General features: G+C 39.7%; 1 protein-coding gene across 14 annotated transcripts in view; it reads left to right on the top strand.

Annotated features, from left to right (window-relative positions):
• SPIRE1 (spire type actin nucleation factor 1) overlaps positions 1-24,211 on the top strand; it is a 215,580-nt gene that overhangs the window by 56,913 nt on the left and 134,456 nt on the right. The window contains exon 3 of one of the 14 annotated variants that reach the window (NR_197429.1): positions 16,760-16,803. The exons of the other annotated variants lie outside the window; for them this stretch is intronic. The gene's annotated coding sequence lies outside the window, so the exon portion shown is untranslated. The remainder of the gene's footprint in view (positions 1-16,759; positions 16,804-24,211) is intronic. 14 annotated transcript variants of the gene reach the window in all.

The raw sequence follows: 24,211 nt of genomic DNA, 5'->3' as shown, positions 1-24,211 counted from the left end.
GGTTGTGTTAAATATATTGTTGTGAAACATATCTCCAGAACCTTTTCATTTTGCAAAACTGAAACTCTACCCATTATATAACAACTCCCCTTTTCCTTTTCCCCAACAGCCACCATTCTCCTTTCAGTCTCTATGCATTTGACCAGTTACTCATAGAAGTGGAATTACCAGTATCTATCCTTTTGTGACTGCTTATTTCGTTTAGCATAATGTCCTCAAGGTTCAACCATGCTATAGTGTGTTAGAGCTTCTTTCTTTTTGAAGGCTGGATCATATTTTATTGTGTATAAACATCACATTTTGTTTATCCATCTGTTTGGTGGACAACTGGTTGCTTCTACCTGTTGGCCATTGTGAAGAATGCTGCTATGAACTTAAGTGTGCACCCACTAGAGAGTTCTCAACAGATTGACAGGATGTGATCTGATTTATGTCCAAAAACGTTCACTCTGACCCTTCCCTTCCCTCACTAAGTGAGACTTGGTGTTTTTTTCTGCCATGTTTCTAATGCTCACAAACAGTGTCTTGCACCTAGTGGTCATGCAGAGATATTTGAAGAAATAAATGACAGAACTAAACACAGTGAGGCAAACTCCGGAGGCCATCATGTCAACTCAGATATATATTAGGATATATTAGGGCAGTGGGCCTTTTCTATTTGCAGATCATAGATCTCACTGAAAATTTGATGAAAAATACAGAACTTTCCTCTGGAAAAAAACAGTTTTTATCTCCTTGACTCTCTCAATACAGAATACTTCTGTGACTTCTGCTCACCAAGAAGTGTGTGGGGATTTCTCCCTACCAGCAGCCAGTTCTCTGGTGGATTCTTTAGTGGACACCAGCTGCGTGTCCTCTAATTCAGTTCCGTTCTGATGCTCTCTTGCTGGAGAGAGCACAGGGTGAGAGTGCTCAGCCTCACACGACTGACCCCCACTTTGAGCACCAATCGCAAGTAATAGGTTCTCACCTATGCTTCTGACCCATCTGTTCTAAATTGGGGTTCCCCCTACTCGATACACTGATTTGACTGATTTGCTAGAGTGGCTCTCAGAACTCAGGGAAACAGGTTTACTGGTTTATTATAAAGAATACTACAAAGGGTACTGGTGACGAGATGAAGAGAAGCATGGGAAAGGCACATGGGAAGGAGTGTGGAGCTCCTGTGCCCAGTACAGGCTCACCACCCGCCAGGAGCCCCCACATGTTCAGCTCTCTGGAAGCTCCCCAAACCCAGTCCCTTTGGGTTTTTAGGGAAGCTTCGTTATGTTGGAATGACTGCATAAATCATTGACTACTGGTGATAGGCCAGGCGCTGTGGCTCATGCCTGTAATCCCAGTGTTTTGGGAGGCCAAGGCAGGCAGATCACAAGGTCAGGAGTTCAAGACCAGCCTGGCCAATATGGTGAAAATCTGTCTCTACTAAAAATACAAAAATTAGCCAGGCGTGGTGTCGGGCACCTGTAGTCCCAGCTACTCGGGAGGCTGAGGCAGTAGAATTGCTTGAACCCAGGAGGCGGAGGTTGCAGTGAGCCGAGATTGCACCACTGCACTGCAGCCTGGGGAATAGAGTGAGACTCCATCTCAAAAAAAAAAAAAAAAAATTGGCTACTGGTGATCAGCTCAGACGTCAGCCTCTCTCCCCTCTTTGGAGTTGGTGCTGAAAGTCCCAGTCCTCTAATCATGCCTTCATCTTTCTAGTGACCAGCCCCATCCTGAAGCTACCTAGGGGTGGCCCAGCCTTCAATCATTAATATACAAAAAGACACCCATCACTTTGGACATTCCAAGGATTCTAGGAGTTGTATGCCAGGAGATAGGGATGAAGACCAAATATGTATTTCAAAATATCACATTTCCCCAGAAAAGCAAACACAGTTACAGACGGTTCAAGTTAAGATTTTTCGACTTTATGATGGTGTAGAAGTGATAAACATTTAGTAACTATAGTTTGAGTACCCATACAACCATATTGTATTCAATAAATTGTTCAGTTATTCAGTTGTATTCAATAAAATGTTCAACACTTTATCATAAAATAGGCTTTGTGTTAGATGATTTTGCCCAACCATGGGCTAACTTAAGTGTTATGAACCTGTTTAAGGTAGGCTAGGCTAAGCTATGATGTTTTGTAGGTTATGTGTATTAGATGCATTTTCACTATATGGTATTTTCAATGAGCTTATCAGGATGTAACTCCATCATAAGTCAAGCAGCATCTGTATACTAAAATGTTTACCTACAAATCAATGGGTTCTTCACCTGATGTCCATAGAAGGACTTCATACATAACTAGGCCGTTGACCATTCTTATGGGTGGATTGGAGTATTCATCCTACAGCGATATTAGAGCTATAGATCCAATCCCTGAGCAGGCAGTGTTTCTTCCTACAAATTGTAATCTGCACAGCCTTCACAATTTTCATCAGCCTTGTTTCACAGTAGGAAAGGTTTGCCCCAGCCTTACACAGTAGACCTGATTGCATGTCTCCTATATCTGGGTTGCAGCCTCCTGGCTGCTTCTGGATAGAGAATCAGGGAGACCATGGCTTCAGCCCTTTTATTATACTGCAGCATTTTTCTGTTCTGTTTCTGCGCCACAGAGTTACTGATTTCTTTAAAGTGGCTATATCTCAAAAACACTTAAAAATTCATATCTGTCATTTTTCTGGATTGTGTTTAGTGTGGGATGACAATCTCAAAGGGTGAACTCCCAGCACCCTGGGACTGAGCAGCCTCTCCTTGCTGGCTACTCACTAAGCCAGTATATGAATTGATAGAATAAAAATTAAAAATGAACATCAAGCATTTGGGATCATTGCTTGGAAAAGATTTCTTGTGCCAAAAGGCTCAAGTGAAACCTTTTGAGTATGCATTTCAGAGTTCTGAAGCAGAATGAAACTACAACTGATCTGTTTTTTACTACCATTTCCTTCCTAAATAGAGAAAGGAAGGGATTTTTATCTGATCTCTTATGTTGCTGTCTGTTAGGATGCCTTCAACTACAAGCAACAAAAAGTAACTCAGCCCTTTATGTGTATGTGTGTGTGTATATGTCTATATATGTCTATGTATTTATGTAAACGTTATATGTGCACACGTGCAGACATGCGCACACACTGTGAAAGGGCCTGGAAGCAGTGGCACCCCTAGTCACCCAAGTGAGCACAACTAGTCACCCACGTCTTTGTTTCTAAATAGCCTTCCCCACTACCAGTAACCAGGGCTCCCCAGAGAAGTAGCTGATTCCAGGGTTGGGGCAGGGGAAGGACAAGATGAGGCCAAATCATCTTGTTGTGCCAGGTATAAGGAAGCATACAAAGCCTGATAAGGTGGTGCAGCCATGCCATGGAGTACCATCTGCAATAAAAAGGAACAAAATACTGATATAGCCACATGGAGGAACCTCGAAAACAGGCACTGTGAAAAAATCCAGAGACAAAGGCCACGTTGTGGGATTTCATTTATATAAAATGTCCAGAAATGGCAAAACTGTAGAGACGGAAAGTACGTGAGTGATTTCATGGAGCTGGGGGTCAGAAGAGGAGTGCCTGCAAATGGGCATGAATTTTCTTTCATCTGGAGTGATAAAAAATTCAAATTCTAAAATTATGTGGTGGTGGTGATGGTTGCATATTTTTATAAATTCACTGAAAATCATTAAATAATTGTACATTTTGAATCAGCAAATTTTAGGGTAAGTAAATTATACCTCAATAAAGCAGTTTGGTTCTGTTTTTTGTTTTCGTTTTTTTTGAAATGGAGTCTTGCTTTATCGCCCAGGCTGGAGTGCAGTGGTGTGATCTCGGCTCACTGCAACCTCCACCTCCTGGGTTCAAGTGACTCTCCTGCCTCAGCCTCCCAAGTAGCTGGGATTACAGGTGCCCCCCACCATGCCTGACTATTTTTTGTATTTTTTTTTTTTTTGGTAGAGATGGGGTTTTGCCGTGTTGGCTGGGCTGGTCTCGAACCTTAAGTGATCTGCCTGCCGCGGCCTCCCAGAGTGCTGGGATTACAGGCGTGAGCCACCGCACCCAGCCAATAAAGCAGTTTTTAAAAGTTATGGGAGAGGTCACAAGGACTCAGGAGTCAGCTTGCAGGACTGCCCACTGGCCAAGTCTGGAAATACTTGAGCATCAGAATAACTAACGATAATGGGCCAGGCAAAGTGGCTCATGCCTGTAACCTCAGCTGTTTAGGAGTCCGAGGCAGGTGGATTGCTTGAGCCCAGGAGTTTGAGACCAGCCTGGGCAATATAGTGAGACCTCATCTCTACAAAAACACAAAAATTAGTTGGGTGTGGTTGCGTACACTGTGGTCCTTGTACTCTGGAGGCTGACTTAGGAGGAACACTTTTGAGTCCAGGAGGTCGAGGCTGCAGTTCACTGAAACGGCGCCACTGCACTCCACCCTGAGTGACAGAGCGAGACCCTACCTCAGAAAAAAAAAGAATAATGATAATGTATTAAATTAGTTACCAAATAAAACTGATAAAATAATAAAATCCACAAGACTCTAAATACGTGAATAAATGGGGAGAAAGGAAAGTTCTTCCTTACAGTGCCAACTCACAAATATAGAAGGAGTGATGATGGATGGAATGTTGTTCTTTTTCAACCATCATAGTATTAGCTGACTTAGGTAAAAATCATCAGTGGTTGTTAAAACTAGTTAATGAAGGTTTGATGAGGACCATGATATTAACAGTTTCAAAAGAGTTCACTGTTAAATACCTGTTGATTTCAAAGGCAAAAATAGTATACCGGAGTAATCTAGCAGAACCACCTTAAGTGACTGAACTAGTTTTGTATTGCTGTGTAACAATGTTACCACACGTTTAGAAGCTTAAAACAGCCACAAATTTATGATCTCACAGATTTTGTTAGTTAGGAGTCTGGCCTGGCTTAGCTGGGTCCTCTGTTCAGGGTCTCCTAAGATTCTAATTCAGGTGTCAGCTGGGGCTCATCATCTGGAGGCTTAGTCTGGGAAGGATTCATTTCCTGCTCATGTGCTTGTGGCCACATTCAGCTCCTTGTGATGGTACAACTGATGGCTTCATTTTTTTTTTTTTTTTTTGCTGGCCATTGGCTGGAGAATGCCCTCAGCACGTAGAGACTATCTATCTGCAGTTCCTTTGCCATGTGGGTTCCCAACGTGGCCACTTGCTCCCTCACAGCCAGCAAAGGAGAGGAGACTCCAGCAAGATGGAAGCTGTCTTATGTAATATAATCATGTATTTGTAATAGTGAACATCCCATCACTTTTGCTGTATTCTGTCAGTTAGAAGCACTTCACAGGTCCCACCTAGACTCAAAGGGAGGAGTCACACAGGGCATGAACAGCAGGAGGTGGCAAGGACAGGGATGTCTTAGAGTCTGTGTGCCACAGTAATAAAAGTTGACATCACCAGTATTAGGACAAACCATACCATGTGCCTCCTGACTCACTGAAAGGGTCATGTATCTCTGCCAGGTATCTCTGCCAAGTGTGCATAACCTGCAGAAACATGAGACAAACCAAATACCTGAGGAACCATGTACCTGACCTGTATTCTTCCAGTGTCATTGTAATGAAAGACAAAGGCTGAAGAACTGTTTTTGATTAAAGGAGACTAAAGAGGGATGTGGTGGCTCACACCTGTAATCCCAGCACTTTGGGAGGTCAAGGTGGGAGGATCACTTGAGGATAGGAGTTTGAGACCAGCCTAGGCAACATAGCGAGATGCCATCTCTATAAAAAAATTTTTTTAAATTAGCCAGGTGTAGTGGGGCGTACCTGTAGTCCTAGCTATTCAGGAGGTGGGAGAATCACTTGAGCCTGGGAATTCAAGGTTATGAGCTTGGTTGTGTGAGCTATGGTTGTGCCACTGCACTCCAGCCTGGCTGACAGAATGAGACTCTGTCTCAAAAAAAGAAAAAAGCTAAAGAGATAAGACAACAAATGCAATGGATGAGCCTGGGTTAGGAAGGATAGTACAAAGAGCATGTTTGGGGAACAGTTGAAATTTGAATATAGACTGTGGATTAGATGTTAAATTTCTTATTTTTATAATTATATTGTGGTCATCTAAGACATGCCCTTATTTGTAGATATTTGGAGAAGAGATGGGCATAAAGTTTGTGACTTACTCTCCAGCGGTTTGTGAAAGAAAATGTGAATAAAGCAAATGGGGTAAAACATTGGTATTGATAAATCTGGTCAAAGGATATACAGGAATTCCTGATAATTTCTGTATATTTTTGAGGCGTTTCTGTAAGTTTAAAATTATATCAAAACAAAAAAAATGCCAAAAAACTTAAAGTGATACAAAAATTGGCTCAGAAGCTAGAACTCCAGAGGGGTGGGCTTCAGAGTTGGCTTTATTTAGAGCTCCACAGTCTTATCAAATACTCAGGTTCTTTTTGTCTTTCCGCCTTCTAGCCCTCAGTGTGTGCTTCATCCAGCAGCCACTTCCTCTTGAGATTTTAGGTGATTGCCAGTGACAATCAGGGCTGCATGCTTTCCCACTGAGCCAGTCGATATCCTTGCCTTTTCAGTCATTTTAATTCCTGAGACTTTTCTGTAAGTTTTAAGTGATATCAAAGGTAAGGACCTGTTAGAAAAGTCTCGAGAATAATCCAAGGAAGTCATTAAAATAGGTTTTATTGATAATATTTAAATTTTTCTTAAATTGGTAGTTAATTTGGTCTGGTGAAGTTTCACTGTTACTAGGGAAAAAAAAAACAGTGTAAACAGTGGCATATGCTAAAAATATGTTAGGACAGATACTGCCAGAAAGCCAGTTGTTATAGAAGTATAGTTTTCTACTGTATAGTCATTAAAATGTAATTTGGCCTTTTATGTGACCTCTAAAGGAAATCTTAGGCAGTATTCAAAATATTGTTTTTAATAACCAGGAATTTAGGGAGTGTTCTTGAAAGAATCATTTCTTCTGACAGAATTCAAAAAGAATTTTAGATTTGAGATATCTTATAATAATTTTACATTTCTAATTTAGTTTAAAAATGTGTATGTTTAGGAAGACGTAATTATGTCAAATATTAGACATAAGAAAATATTAGGAGTAAATGGTTTTCTTACATCATATATCTCGAAATTTTGAAATGTCAAAGATTATGTGCCCTCTGGTTAGTGACTCAAGCTAGTCTCTTGTATAAAAATCCAAAGTATGTGAACTCTGCCGCCTCTGCACATGCGTCCCTGGCCAATGCAGTCCCAGCTGTTTGCTCACCCACACCTTCGCTGCAGTTTTCCTCAGTCTTACATCTAGACATGAGTGGATGGGGGTGAGCTGGGGCAGTCCAGGGCCTACACACCCAGCTATGCAGTCATGTGGGCATCTGTGCCATTTGATTCCACTCTTCTTCCTCCAGCCTGCATATTTAATTGTGCCCCTGGAAAGTGGAGCAAAGAAATTAAGCAGCTATTTTAAGTAGTTGGGCAGCTCTAAAAAACAGCGGAGACCGTATCTATTTGTTTTTTGAATACTCTTAGTACAAGAGAAACCAGCAGTTGAGGCTGTTAGTATTTAATTCTCAGCAAATTATTACTATACAGCAAATTATTTCTTCTTCCAAACATTTCTTTGAAGCAGTTGAACTATTCTGGGGCGCTGAGATGAAACCATTCATTGGCAAATGTTAAAAAAAGTGCCAGGCCCAGAGATATAGTTCAAATACAGTCTCCCCAATAGTTGCTGGTATGAGTTAGGCACAGGAAAGCTGTTCTGGCTCATACCTGTTTGGTGGCCTCTTCGATGCTTGCCCACACAGAATAAAGTAACGCCCCTCTCCCACCAGGCTTTCCTTCCCTGTGTGTGTGCTCTGGAGCCCCTCTAGCTCTCCTTCAGGCCTGCTGCACTCCACCAGGCCCAGAAAAATCTGGTGGTCAGAATGGGGGATCACTTTCAACTTTGGGGGGTTATAAATAAGCTATTAATGGATTATCAAGAGTGGTTCTGTCTCTCTCCCTCTGTGTGTGTGTGTGTGTGTGTGTGTGTGTGTGTGTGTGTGTGTGTGTGTAGAAAGAGACACTAGAGGGAAGTTGCAAAAATCCGTGAATAGAGGTTTTGAGGTAAGATAATGAAAGGGTGCTTAGGTTATAAAAGAGCACAGGAAGAGAAGAAGGCATTTGTCAAGAGATGTGATGATTGGCTAGAATAAAAGTTAACAGGGCAGTGGTGACTGGAGCAGGCTTTTGGGCGGGTTGCTCATTCTTAAGGTGGAGGAGGAAACAGGAAGGGGGTTAGCAGGACAGTGCAGGTGAAGGAGGAAACAGGAAGGGGGTTAGCAGGACAGTGCAGGGCTATAGCTGTGGTATTAAGTTCTCCTATCTACAGTGACTTCTTGAGGAACATGTAATGAATTAAGGTAAATTACAAATGTCAAATTTCCCAACTGTATTTTGTCAGTTGATAGGCATTTCTTAAAAATTAATTTTATTTATAATTGATATATAATATACACATTCATTTTAAATATTAGGATTAACCATAAAACAGTATTTTAAAAAATTAGATCCAATGCCATAATCATTATAATATATGGAATTTTATATGAGCCACAGATTTCTCCTTCTGAGGAAATTTCACAGTGAGGATCTTGTGTGGGTAATTACAATTACTTATGTGGCCTACACTGTCAAAACATTTCTCATCCCCCTTTCAACTTTGTGGGAAAAAATATTTTTTCATAATTTTCTGTATAATAGAGGTTTAAGTACTCAAAGTGACCAGATTGATACTGTATATTTGATTGTTCCTATTATATTTAAAAGAAAATTGGAACTAGAATGGTGAAAAAGAAAATTAAATGTCTATGCAATGACAAAGGCAAAATAAGGATAGGAAATTAAAGCAAGTGTTTCAAGAGGGGGAAGTTAATTGTTTTGGTTTATTTGACAAATGAAACGAACAGACTCTAGTCTTCTTTCTTGGCTTTTATTTTGCCCTTCATTTTTGTTTTCTTTCACTAAAAGTTGGGTAATATATATGGCTTCCTCTTTTCTAGCTATTTCACTTTACTTGAAAACTCCATTCATACACAGTCAGACTTGATTGCAGATCTGCCCTTGACAACCTAGAGTGCTAAAGAACAGGAGTAGACCATCTGATAATGTGTCTCTTGGTCTGGTCATTGTGTAATTCCTACAATAGGCTCCTTGTAGAGCAGGTTTAGTACATCAATACTGCATTGTAAATCTAGTTTGTATAATTAGTGTAGTGTCTCTTCCAATCCCCCATCCCCTCTTTTTTTTCTTGTGGCAAATAGGTCAAGGTGATGTGGGATAAATGTGACTTTCTAAATACACCTAGATATCTGTGTATTAAATAGCAGCTTCTGAAATGCTGGAGGTCTCTGTCCTCAGTACTTCCATAGTATTTTGTGATATCTCTGTTAACAGTTACCTCACCACAGCACACATTGTATGTATATGTGTTTGTCTATTCCACTTGGCTGTGAGCCCTTTGAGGGCAAGGACTATGCCTCATTTATTTTTGTATCTATATTTTGGTGCCTGATACAAATAGGTACTCAATAAAGGTTAGTTGGATAATTGTTTAAAAAACACAGATACAACTTCAGATGTCTGCCATTTGCCAGAACTTCTGGTAGATGAGCCACACGTATAGTTTTCTTTTAATAGCACTTGGTCCTATGAAAAGTTCTGTAATCTCCTTTGGATTGTTTATACAGTTGACCCTGAACAACGTGGTGGTTAGGGTCACTGACCCTCCTTTGCAGTCAGAAATCTGAGTATAACACATTTGACTCTCTCAAACTTAAGTTTTGATTGAAAGTCTTACCGGTAACATAACAGTTAATACATATTTTATATGTGTTATATCCTGTATTATTGTTATTATTATTATTATTGACAGGGTCTGGCTCTGTTGCCCTGGCTAGAGTACAGTGGCACAATCATAGCTCACTGCAGCCTCAACTTCCTGGGCTCAGGTGATCCTCCCACCTCAGCCTCCCAAGTAGCTGGGATTATAGGCATGAGCCACCCCTATAGTGGTCCCCACCACCATGCCCAGCGAATTTTTGTTTTGTTTTGTGTTGGTAGAGACAGGGTCTCACTCTTTTGCCCACACTGGTCTTGAACTCCTGGGTTCAAGCAGTTATCCCGCATTGGCCTCCCAAAGTGCTGGGATTGCAGGCATGAGCCACCACACCCAGACCTGTATTTTTAAAGTAAGCTAGAGTAAAGAAAATGTTATTAAGAACCTCATAAGGAAAATATATTTACTATTCATTAAGTGGAGATTGATCATCATAATGGTCTTCATCTTTGCATTGAATAGTCTGAGGAAGTGGAGGGATTGGTCTTGTTGCTCAGGGGTGTCAGTGGCTGAAGAGGTGGAGGAGGTGGAAGAGGAGGCAAGAGAGACAGGCAAAACACTCAAGAGTAATTTTTATTGAAAACAAAATACGTGTATAAGTGGACCCATGCACTTCAAACGTGTTGTTCAAGGGTCAACCATACTAGTTTTTATAATAAGAGGGAAAGATTAGAAAATAAAGATAAGCAAAAGCAAAGGAAAAATCACTTGCAACCCCATTCCCCAACAATAATAGCTGTTGTTAGCATTTTATATTCTTCTAATCATTTTTTCTTATGGACATATGTGTGATTTTCCTAAGAATTATATCACATGTGGACATAGTGGTTTGTAACCTAATTTTTCAACTACCTAGCTTAGTACAGTAACAGATTATCAATAAATACTTGTTTTAATGAACATTTTCTGTTATCAAATATATTTCAACATCATTTTTAATGATTGCTTAATATTCCATTAATTAATGTCCATAATAATGGACATTATTATTTAACTGATCCCCCCATTGCTTAATAGGCTGTTTATTCATTTAATAACATAGTTGGTTTGATCACAGATATCTCTGGTTCATCCCTTTCCCCTCCCAGTCTTTACTTTGGTGGTATTGATCCATATTTAAGGCTTTGAAAGCTTCATCTTCTCTTTAACTTCTAGGTATTTGCAGTACTGTTCCTTTTGCCCATAACACATTTCCTACTTTGCCTAGCTAATACACATTTGTTAAAACCTGGGCTTATTTTTTCTTCTTGGATCGTTTCCCGGACTATATTAGTTGTCCTTCCAATGTGCATCATAGGCAGCATTTTATACTAATTCCTAGGGAAAAACTCAGTCTGCTTTATTTTAATTGCATGCTTTCTTCTTCTTATTTTTTTTTTTTCTTGAGACAGCGTTTCTCTCTTGTTGCCCAGGCTGGAGTGCAGTGGTGCGCAATCTCAACCGCAAGCTCCGCCTCCCGGGTTCAAGCGATTCTCCTGCCTCAGCCTCCCAAGTAGCTGGGATTACAGGCATGTGCCACCACACCCGGCTAATTTTTTTGTATTTTTAGTAGAGATGGGGTTTCTCCATTTTGATCAGGCTGGTCTTGAACTCCTGACCTCAGGTGATCCGCCCGCCTCGGCCTCCCAAAGTGCTGGGATTACAGGCATGAGCCACCCCGCCTGGCCAATTGCATGCTTTCTTAAGTGTATCTCCCACTAAACCATAAAATCCTTCAGGAGAGGACCTATGTCTTGTTTCCGTTGTATTTCCCAGCCCTGTGTAATGCTGGGTATATAGCGGGAATTTAGTAAATATTCTTTCAAATGGCAAATGCATGAAACATTTCCTGGTCTTCAGCGTGGATCATTAAATGGTGACCTTTAACAATCTCATCTTTTTTATCAGATAAGCATAATAACAGCAACTTTTATTTGTAAAGTGCTTTATAGAACATAAAATGTTTAAAAATTGTTGTTTCATATTGGCAAGGAAATGAATTCTTAGTAAATTTATTCTGCATTATCAAATGAATTGGTCTGCTATTTAAATTCCTTAATATGTTGCCCTTTATTGATAGTTAAGTGATAATGTTAGTAATTCTCACATCTGTATGGTCTTAAATTTTTAAGTAGAGACAGTTAATAGGTTATAGTTTTTAATTTATATTTTAAGCCTCTCTTAAGCAATAATTAGGCATCAACTCTGATGAGGGTTTTGTAACCATAGTTTAAACCAATTTAAAACCATAGCATGAAGCTAAAAGCTTTTATTTTTATTTTGTAACACGAAGAGTAATCTACAACAAAGACTTAGGGACCAGAGAACCTAACAGTAACATTAGACAGTAAAACCACTTAGCTAGGTGTGGTGGCTTGCGCCTGTAGTCCCAGCCACTGGGGAGGCTGAGGTGGAAGAATTGTTTGAGGCCAGGAGTTGGAGGCCATCCTGGGCAAGATAGTGAGACTCTGTCTCTAAAAAAGAAAGGAAAACAACGACTGGATTAGGCTTAGGAGATAGAAGTTAATTATCTACAGCTCTCTATATTGTCACTAAGTGACATGGCACACCTAGGGGTGAGGATGGGTTGGTTGTCACAGTCACCTAAGGAGCTTTTTCAGATGCTTTGTCGTCTACCTAACTCTGCAGTTACTGCCATTGTGGCGATATTGAATGATAATCAGTTATATTAAGATAGAGACAGGCTTTGCAAGAATATTATTAACTGGAACTCCTTAACCTGAAAAGCCAGTAGTGACACAGAGAACAGGGAGTCTGCAGACCAGGGCTGTAGTTTACCACGGGTGAGCTGTGTGAATTCAAGCAGGTCACTTAGCCTCTCTTCACCTTCACCTTCCTTCGCTTCCTTTTTATAAAACAAAGGAATTGGATTAGATGATCTGTAAACTCACATTTATAAATCTTCTCATTTTTCTGATGCACATACAAAAAGAATCTTGCTCTTCAAAGAAGAAATGAAAAATGTGATTATAACTTTGTCTAAAATGTGATATTACATTAGTTTAACAGATATTAATATTATCGTACACTTTAAAAGCCCTTCAAATTGAGTCTTCAGCTAAGTAAAATACTGACAATTTCTTTATTATCTCAGAAAAAAGAAAATCCTGGTGAACTCTTTTTTTCTTCTTGAGACTCAAACTCAAATCCAGGACAGTGATCTCATCTGGTTTCATTGTTTTAAATCTCATCTCTGTGCTGATGACTTACAGCTCGGTATCTTCTCTGAATTATTTGCTCCTCTGAAATTGACTACCAACATACTGGTGCACTTAGATATCAATGGAATATCTCAAAGTTAAAGTTAATTCCTGATTTTTTCCCCCCAAACCTATTCTTGATTTTTTTTTTTTTTTTTTTTTTTTTGAGATGGAGTCTTGCTCTGTCGCCCAGGCTGGAGTGCAGTGGTGCGATCTCGGCTCACTGCAAGCTCTGCCTCCCAGGTTCACGCCATTCTCCTGCATCAGCCTCCCAAGTAGCTGGAACTACAGGTGCCCACCATGACGCCCAGCTAATTTTTTGCATTTTTAGTAGAGACGGGGTTTCACTGTGTTAGCCAGGATGGTCCTGACCTCGTGATCTGCCCACCTCGGCCTCCTAAAGTGCTGGGATTACAGGCGTGATCCACCACGCTAGCCTATTCTTAATGTTTTCTATATCTGACCAAGACAGAAACCTTGAAGTTGCCTTTGATTCTTAATACCTAACAGTCAATGTATTAGCAAATGCGTTTGGTTGTGCTTTGAAATGGTAGCCGGAAACTGCCCATTTCTCATCAGCACTCCTTCCGACTGCCCTTACTCTACTAGAGTCTATTCTCAGTCAGGAGCCAGAGGCAACCATTTTTTGTCATGTAACGTCATGTGTCACTCCTCTACTAACCTGCAGTGGCTCCCCCTCTTCTTCAGTGTAAAAGTTACAGCCCTTCCAGTGGTCAGCAAGGCCCTGTGTGACCTGGTGCTCCATGACCTCTCATTTCATGCTTTTTCTCTCTCGTTCACTTCTTTCAGACACACTAGCTGCCTTGCTATTTTCATAACATTCCAGGCACACTGCCTTCTCAGGGCCTTTGCACTGGCAGTTCCTTTTGCCTGAAACTCTCTTTCCCTGGATAGTCGCATACTTAGCCTCTCACCTCCTTCCATTCTACTCCTGTGTAACCATCTGATGTGAAGGCTACACTAAACTAACTGTGCTATTTAAAACTGCAAACTACTACCCTAATAGCCACCTCTGCATTTGATGTTATTTTTTTCATAGCATTTAATGCCTTCTAATGTACTGTAATTTGTTTATTAATCTTATTGCCTCTCTCCCTCTTCTAGAATGTATGTTTTGGAGGTCAGAGACTTTGTCATATGTAAAAATAGTGAGGATAAAATGATAATATATGACTATATATTGTTTATAGATATTATTTTGGCTAAGTACTACCTCAGTGAATTTGTTTTAAGGCCAAAGAAATCATGACAGTTGCATAACCCATTTTACAAACTGTACACAGTAACATATGTACATGGGAAGTCCTGGACTCAAGAAAAGGTGCCTCTCCTGCCAACCTTCTTGCCCAGGGGCCTGTAGCGCTCCTGCCCCCGCTTGAGAGTGGCTTCCTGGGGGTCTTCATGCCTGTGTCTTCTCACTGCTGCTCTTCAAATCTAGCCCTCGAGGCCTCCACAACGCTGATGCTGCCATTCTACTGCTCAGGGCTCAGGGGTTGTAAGGTGGACATGAGGCTCAGGACACTTTTATACTCTGTTTTCAATTTAAATAGTCTATTGTGGCCCAATACTGGAACATCTTATAACTTTCTCTCTTTTTGTTTTTTTCCTTTGGGCTTTCTTCTTTAGGCCCGAAAACTTTTTCTATGGGAAAAATTGATTTATGGTTTTCAGATTGCATTGAAAGGGAACTTCAGGACATAACTCATTCAGAAATTAGGAGATGCGGCCAGGCACGGTGGCTCACGTCTGTAATCCCAACACTTTGGGAGGCCAAGGCAGGTGGATCACCTGAGGTCAGGAGTTTGAGACCAGCCTGGCCAACATGGTGAAACCCTGTCTCTACTAAAAATACAAAAAAATGAGCCAGGCGTGGTGGCACATGCCTATAATCTCAGATACTTAGGAGGCTAAGGCAGGAGAATCACTTGAACTTGGGAGGCATAGGGTGCAATGAGCCGGGACTACACCATTGCACTCCAGCTGGGGCGACAAGAGTGAAACTCCGTCTCAAAAAAAAAAAAAAGAAATTAGGAGATGGCATTTTAGGATGGCTTTTTCAGTTACTGCATAGGAAAAATGTTACTAGGCAAGATTAAAATATTCTTGTATGCCAGCTAGTCCTGAAAATATATTTATTATGTATCTAAGCCTTTAAAAATTGCAAACGTCTGTTCTTATCAATATAAATTTGTTTTATAAAAATAAAGTTTGTATGAACAGACAGTGGATATCATTGTTGCATTAAACTATGCTGTAGCAAAGAATAAACTAATTCTTAAAAACATTTGGTCCCTGCTTCCCTGTTTTGACATAGATAAAATGAGTAATGAGGCAGTGGCTGTCATTGAATTAGAGGCAGTGGCTGTCATTGAATGAGAACCAGAAGGAATTGGCAGTTGGATGTTAGCTAGTGTCTGTCCTTGCCCCAGTTCTTCTCAGGTTGGGCTTTTTTGTTTGTTTTTTCAGCTTGGCACAGAAGATTTTTTTAGAAATGATGAAATGTAAACCATTCAGAACAGGCTAGTTCTACCTAAGAGCACCTTTTACCTAAGTGCACCTGGTACTGAGGGAAAACATTTTATGTATCCTGGCAATATTTGTGCCTTTTCTTTCCTGTTGATGATACTTGTGTGTTTGAGGAAAGGTCATAGAAAGAGTATGCCTGCTTTCTCCACCGGACACCCTGGCAGAGTGGGCGGCCTTCAGACCTCCTTCCTTAGTACCTGGGTGGTGGTCCAGGGTCCAGGTCTCCTCCTTCACTTGCTCTTTCTGTCTTTAGCTCTGTTGCCTTTTACTTTATATGAATGGAGCTCTATAGTGGCCAAGTTCATGGGCTATGGAGAAAGACCTGGGTTTGAGTTCTGGCTCTGTTACTTACTTAGTCTCTAGTTACTTTACTTAATCTTAGTTTCTTCATCTCTGAAATTGGGTGCAGAGGTGTTAATATGCATAATACCTATTTAATAGTATTGTATGAGAAATAATTCACATTAATAAATAATATGTGCATAGGACCTTGCACATAGAAGCTCAGTAGATGTCAGCTATTATGAAAATTACCTTTAAGCTGCCTTTAAAAATTCTTTCTATCTCTGTATGTATCTGTATGAATAACTACCCATGACCTCTCCTAGGTTCTGAGAATGCAAGAGTGACCAAAACAGACATGTCTCTGACCACACGGAATCCAAGTGGCAAAGATGTTTGTACCTTGAGAGTTGTCAGTTATTGGAAGAAAACTTCTGACTATATCTAAAGTAGGAAAAGAAATTTAAATTGAAGCAAGTGTAAAGTGTTAAAGGCTTAATAAAAGAACCCTGAAGTTAAAAAAACAAAGATTTAGGAAAATCTGTGTAGTTTTCCGGAGTTTTTAATAGCAGCTGACATATTTGCCCGTAAGGACAATTAATAGGTCAGCACTAGCAATGTAAGAAAGGGAGTAGTAAGAAATAAGGTCTGTGAAGTAGACTGGAGCAAGTCCACGGAGGTTTTTTTTTTTTTTTTTTTTAAAGTGAGACAAGGAGAGCATTTGTGAACTGGAAAGTGAAGTCAGTAATTTTCCAGTACAGAAGAGATAACCTTTGGTGGCAGAACCAGAATTTAACAACTGGTTTTGAAAGAAACAATATTTGGTTTAAAAAATATAAATCTCTACTATTTAAACATGTAATGATAATCATTTATATTTTGACAGCCTATTTAATAGCAGTAAATAACATATGAAAGCCACTATTAACTGTAAGTAGTACTTTTTATACTGCAATAAGACTTACTATAGTGAATAGATGACATTGATGTATTTACCTGGAAAAATTCTAATGCAGTTTTTTTAACCTAATCTACTTTTAAAAAAAAATTAAAATTAGGCAATTTAGAAACAACTAAATATCTATCAACTGATGAATGGATGAATAAAATGTGATATATCCATACAACAGAATATTATTTGACAATAAAAAGATATGAAGTACTGATACATGCTTCAACATGCTAAGTTGTAGAAGCCATTCACAAAAGACCACATGTTATATGATTGCATTATATGACATGGCCCAGAATAGGTAAATCTATAAAGCTAGGAAGTAGATTAGTGGTTGCCTAGAGCTGAGGGGAGGGAGTAGGGTTGGAGAAAAATGGGGAGTGACTGCTAATGGGTATGGGGTTTCTTTTGGGATGATGAAAATGATCTAAAATTAATTGTGATCATGAATGTACAACTCTGAGTATATTAAAAAGTATTAAAATGGATACTTTGGGTGCATTGTATGGTGATTGTATCTTAAGAAAGCCTTCAGAGTTTTTTTATTAAGCAATTTGAAAGAATTCTTAATTTCAAGAAACAGAAGTGGTGGAATATATCCTTTACATTGAGCTCTGTTCTCTCTAATGCCTAAATCACTGGGTAGGAAAAATCAGTGTAGTTGTTAGACCAGTAGTTCTCAGTATGTGTCACTTGTAGAGTTGTTAAAAATGTGGAGTACCAGATCCTCCCTCTATGGTTTCTAATTCTGCAGGCCTGTGAAGGGGCTTGGGACTGATTTCTAATGGGCACCTTGATGAATCAGCTGTTTTGTTTCAAAAATTGAGAACCTTTCTGTGTTCTCTTAGAATATGCTCCTGGGCCAGTTGATCCAGCCTTTATTTTCATTCTCTTGCTTTGGCTACCTTATCAGTGCTAAAATATATATTTAGCAATATATTTAGAGCTCGAAATTATATGAGAATCACTCTGGCATTGTCTTATTACAGAGCAGGTAGCTGAAGCTGGAGAGGTTTTTTTCCTAGAGTCTCAAAACTATGAAGTTAGGGAACTGGAATCCAGATTTAAGTCAGCTTGTGCCCAATCCAGTACTCTTTTCACTTCATCACACCGTCTGTCAGAATTTATTCTGTATATAATCATCCCTTACCACTCCTTGACCTCCACAGGTGTTGGTGCCACCTACTTTTTAGTGGCTCTACCTGTTCATTGGCTGTGTGACTTTGAGCAAATTATGTAACCTCTTCATGCTTCAGTTTCTTGATCAGAAGGAAATAGGGTAAGAATAATACCTACTTGATAGAATTACTGCAAGGATTTACAATAACATACAATAACATACAAGTGAAGTGCTTGGCACAGGTGAAGTGCTGGCACATGCTCAGTAAATGTCAACTTATTTCTAGTAATAGACTGTTTCAGATACTTGCTTTCTTTAAGTGTCTAGAGTCATGAAATATTTTTAAAAGGACAGTTAAAATAAGTGTTTTCTCAAAAAACCTACATTATAATTTTCCTTCAGGGGCTCAGGAGGCAAATTTAGAGCAATGAGTTTCAAATTTGTTCAGAGCTTAGAGTTACCATGCTTGAGTTTCCAGACACATGATTATCTGTCTTATAAATGAGAAACAGTTTTACTAGTAGAAAATGACTTTATTGGATTTATATAATATAAATTCACTATAAGCATACACATCCATAAAAAAGCTATATAGAAGTAAGCCTAATAAACTTGTAAATGGATGTTATTTTTAATTTGCATACTGTTAGTTTCATCATTTGCCAGTAAAAGTATAGCAGATGCCATGACTGAGAGAATTGTCTCATTAGTTTAAGTATTTCTGTGACTTGAGAAAAGCTATTATTAGGCCTTAGTGGTCTGATGCTTCATTTCCAGCCTATGGAATACCAAGGTAATCTGGCAACTTGGTTTGAGAACCATTGTTTTATGGGCAAAAGAACGAATGTAGAGATGGGACAAACCAAACTATTTATGGCAGTAACAGTTTTAGACTTACTGTTTTAGGATTATGGTGGCAAAATAACTCAGTTGTGAAATGTGATTTTTACGTTTTTTTGTAATTTAAAAAGTATGAAAGAGGCCAGATATAGAGGCTCATGCCTGTAATCCCAGCACTTTGGGAGGCAGAGATGGGAGGATTGCTTAAGGCTAGGAGTTTGAGACCAGCCTGGGCAACATAATGAGACCCTGTCTTTATTTTAAAAATTTTAAAAATTAGCAGGGCGTGATGGCACACGCCTGTAGCCACAGCTACTTGGGAGGCTGAAGTGGGAGGATCACTTGAGCCCAGGAGTTTGAGGTTAAAGTGAGCTATGATTGTGCCACTGCACTCCAGCCTGGGTGACAGAGCAAGACCCTGTCTCTAAATACATACATACATACATGCATACATATATAACAAATGAAAGTAATATAGAAACAAATTCACACAATATAGAAACAAAATGTTTGCCGAGCTCTTCTGGCCCCACTTGCCAGAGATAACTGTTAACAATTTGTGTGTTCTCCTAGAAAAATATATATGTATATGGGTTTATTATTTACATATTTTCTTTTTATATAAACATTTTCATGCATGGTTTACTTAGCATTTTGCAACATACCTTTTTTAATCCTAATACATATTGAGCATCTTTTTACATGTTAGTACATATAGACCTACCTCATTGTGTTTAATAGCATACTAACATTTTTTTAAAGCTAACAGTTTGCTAGACACTGTTTTAAGCTCTTTCCATATATCTTAATTTTCACAAGACCCTTATGAAGCAGGTACAGTTATTATCCCCATTATATAGACACACTAACAGCTATAGAGATAGAAACTTTCTCAAAATCATGCAGCATGTGAGTACTAGATCCTAGATGTGACTATAGGCAGCTGATTTCAGAGACTGCCTTGACATGACATTGCGACATCTCTTAAATTATTGCCACTGTTGAAAGCCTTTTGTCTGGTGGGATCCTACCTATATGTTTCTTGGCCCTTCCTATCATGAAGTTTTTTGGTTTCTCAGCTCCTTAACTTTTGGTTTTCTAATTAAAAATAATGCTTAACTTTTGAGGGATGAAGTGTTGTAATATTCTGTATGTCACACAAACATATATGTGTATGTGTAAGTGTTCCATTTGGCTTATTCATATTATTAAGACAGTCTTCATCCAATTTTTTTGGTCTGATTTGTAAGTTTTTTTGGGAGGAGGTGTTGTTTTAAAAAAATATTTATTGGCCTGGCGTGGTAGCTCACGCCTGTAATCCCAGCACTTTGGGAAGCCGAGGTGGGCGGATCACGAGGTCAAGAGTTCGAGAGCAGCCTGAACAGCATGGTGAAACCCCATCTCTACTAAAAATACAAAATTTAGCCAGGCATGGTGGCACATGCCTGTATTCCCAGCTACTCAGGAGGCTGAGGCAGGACAGCTACTCAGGAGGCTGAGGCAGGAGAATCGCTTGAACCCAGGAGGCGGAGGTTGCAGTGAGCTGCGATCGCGCCACTGCACTCCAGCCTGGGCAACAGGGCGAGACTCCCTCTCAAAAAATATATATATATTATTTATTTTTAATTTAGAGACAGGGCCTTGCTATGTTGCCCAGACTGGACTCAAACGCCTAGGGCTTAGGTGATCTTCCCATCTCAGCCACCAAGTAGCTAGCACTACAAGTGCATGCCACTATGCCTGGCTAATTTGAGGGGAGATGTTCATAATTTTCCTATTGTGACTATGGATTTATTATTTTCACCTTGTAATTCTGGCTGCCTGTTTTAGGTAAAATTTTCAAGTCTAAATTTTGAGACTATATTATTTGGTACAGGCAAGTTCATAATCATTATTTTTTGAAATACTTCTTTGGTTCTTTTAAATACTGTTTTTCTTAAATTCATTTTTCTTTTTTTTTTCTTGAGATGGAGTTTTGCTCTGTTGCCCAGGCTGGAGTGCAGTGGTACTATCTCTGCTCACTGCAACCTCTGCCTCCCAGGTTCAAGAGATTCTCCTGCCTCAGCCTCCCAAGTAGCTGGGACTACAGGCGTGCACCACCATGCCCGGCTAATTTTTGAAGTTTTAGTAGAGACGGGGTTTCACCATGTTGGCCAGGCTGGTCTCAAACTCCTGAACTCAAATGATCTGTCTGCCTCGGCCTCCCAAAGTGCTGGGATTATAGACGTGAGCCACTGTGTCTGGCCCATTTTTCTTTTTGATATTTCTTCTGATTTGTTTTTTCCTGGCATGTATTATATATTTCTGTCCTTTTATATTAACCTTTCTGTGTCTTGCTTTAAGCGTATTTTTAATGAACAGTATGTTATTATCTCTTTTATATCTCATTTGAGAGTCTGTCTTTTAATAAGCATGTTTTACTGGTTTATTTTCTGTTTTTGTTTTTTTTGTTTGTTTTTGTTTTTTTGAGACAAGGTCTCTCTCTGTCACCTAAGCTGGAGTGCAGTGGCGTGATCATGACTTACTGCAGCTTCTAACCCTTCTAGGCTCATGTGATCCTCCCATCTCAGCTTTTCAAGTAGCAGGGACTATAGGTGTGTGCCACCACGCCCAGCACTTTTTTTTGTATTTTGTAGAGGTGGGATTTTGCCATTTTGCTCAGGCTGATCTTGAACTCCTGGGCTCAAGCAGTCTGCTCACCTCAGCCTCCCAAAAGTGCTAGGATTACAAGCATGAGCTACCTGGCCTGGCCTTTTTTTATTTTTAATTTTTTCTTCTTCTTCTTCTTTTTTGGAGACGGAGTCTCACTCTGTCACCAGGCTGGAGTGCAGTGGCACGATCTTGGCTCACTGCAACCTTCACCTCCCAGGTTCAAGCGATTCTCCTGTGTCAGCCTCCCGAGTAGCTGGGACTACAGGCATGTGCCACCATGCCCAGCTAATTTTTGTATTTTTAGTAGAGATGAGGTTTCACCATGTTGGCCAGGATGGTCTCAATCTCTTGACCTCATGATCCGCCTGCCTTGGCCTCCCAAAGTGCTGGGATTACAGGCTTGCGCCACCATACCCGGCCTTTTTCTTCTTTAAATATAAAGAGATCATCCGCTGTTGCCCATGCTGGTCTCGAACTCCTGGGCTTAAGCAATCCTCCTGCATCTGCCTCTCAAAAGTGGTGGGATTACAGGTGTGAGTCACCTGAGCCTGGCCCCTGTTTACACTTATTATGATTTCTGATATCTTTGGACTAATTTCTGTCATCTTTCTTTGTGCCATCTGTCATGTTTCATCCAATATTTTTGCCCCCTTTTTCCCTTGCCTTCTTTAAAAATCACATATGTCAGTATCAAGCATGCATTCCTTCATGGAAATATTGAATTGAATTAGTAAAGCAGATATCCACCTTTAGGAGTTGCACTCTTCAGTTTGCCACAGTCCCCACTGGGCGGTTCACTGTATATGTCTGATCTTTGTACTAAGTTCCATGATGGTAGAGTCCAGACTGTCTATTTCCTTCCCCAGTACACCCCCAGCATCAGGCATAGTACTTGTAGGTACTCAGTGAACATTTGGGTGGTAAGTGTTCAATGAACATTTATTGAACGAATGAAGGGATGGATGAATGAACAGCTGATCATTGGAATCATCTAGAAAGCTATAAAAAATACTGATAACCTGGCTCCCATGCTCTGGAGATTTTGATTTGGTAGGTCTGATATGGAGCCTGGATATACATGTGTTAAGAAACTAACAAAAAATTCCCCCAGATACTCTGATTATCAGAGAGATTTGGAATAATTTGACCTCATGTTTTATGGATTTTTCTACCTTGAGACACACTTGCGACTCTTGCTTTAGTTAATAATTGTGGAGCAATTATTAACTGTATAATTATACAGTAATCTATTTATCTACTTAATATAGGGCCATGGTTCCCCTAAAGTAGGGAAACATACCACAGTTTAGCTTTATTTTTACATATTTTTTAAAGTTGGAGATAGCTGGTCATTGCCATTTGGGTGACATCAGAGCAGCAATATTAAATTTTTCCTTTTCTCAAATAATAATTTCTACTTTTTTTCATCTGCTCTACAAGAGACAGTTTTCTGAGCATGCCTCTCTGCCTTTTCATTAACCATATAAATAATTGGAAATAACCAAAGGGGATTGAAGCATAGAATGTGTGGTTGAACTACAGACCTTGGGCTTTTCCTGTTTTCTAAGATACTGATTCTCTTAGTTGAAATTTACCATGGTTTATAGTTTATGAAACTGACTGGCATACAAAGGACTCAATTTTGATTTTGGTCTGCTATGTTGTACCCATGATGTTTTGTTTGAGGTAAGTCATCTGTGGAGTTAGGAAATTCATTTGCCTTTAAGGAGCAAACTTTATGGGAATGTGAACCTTTTAGGGTTGCAGACAGTTGTTAATGAAACCTATGATTGAAAAAGTAGTTCATCAAGTTTCTTGTTGTCTGTGTTCTGAAACTAAGCATTTTAGAACAACAGTCTCTCATAATGATTTTTTTTTTTTAAACAGTCTCATTCTGATGCCCAGGCTGGAGTGCAGTGGTGTGATCTTGGCTCACTGCAACCTCTGCCTCCTGGGTTCTAGCGATTCTCATGCCTCAGCCTCTCGAGTAGCTGGGATTACAGGTGTGTGCCACCATGCCCGGCTAATTTTTGTATTTTTAGTAGAGACAGGGTTTTGCCACATTGGCCAGGCTGGTCTCAAATTCCTGACCTCAGGTCATCCGCCCGCCTTGACCTCCCAGAATGCCGGGATTACGGGCATGAGCCACCGTGCCTGGCCTGTCATAATGAATTTTGACCCAGTAGGTATAGTTAAGGAAAAATGTTAGCAGGAATGGTATTTTTCAGATTTACTCAGGATAGAGTAAAAATAGTGTGGCTTTTTTACTTTTTAAATTTTCATCTTTTAATCTTGGTTATTTTTTTTAACCTTTTAGTGCCTTGGTTTTACTGTTTTCAAAACGGAAATTATACATTGTATAGCGTGAAACCTTAATTAATGGTTACTAATCAAGTGCTGTAAGCAACTTAGATGAAAGTCACTTTAGTTCAAAGTCCTATAGTAATAATATTTTGAATAAGCAGTTTGAGAACTTTCTGTGGAAATGACTAACACAGGATTATTGACTTAAATGCCATGATTGCTTTGCGCTCTTTTGATGACGTGGGGTGTGTTTGTTCCCCTTTCTTGGGGATTGCCGGTCTCACCTGTGGAATTCTCAAGTCCTTTTTTATCATTACTTGGCCTAGAAACTCAGTAAAGTGTTTGCTTACTTTAGTAGTTCAGTGGGTATTAAATAGAGTACCTATCATGTGCAAGACAGTGTGCTAGGAAAAGGCAGACCTAATAATACATACTCTCCACCCATGGGGATAAGTGGAATCATGTGGCAA

The sequence above is a fragment of the Homo sapiens genome, chromosome 18, assembly GCF_000001405.40.
Source record: "Homo sapiens chromosome 18, GRCh38.p14 Primary Assembly".
In the NCBI taxonomy this organism is placed as follows: Eukaryota; Metazoa; Chordata; class Mammalia; order Primates; family Hominidae; genus Homo; species Homo sapiens.
This window is presented reverse-complemented; position numbering and strand designations above follow the sequence as displayed.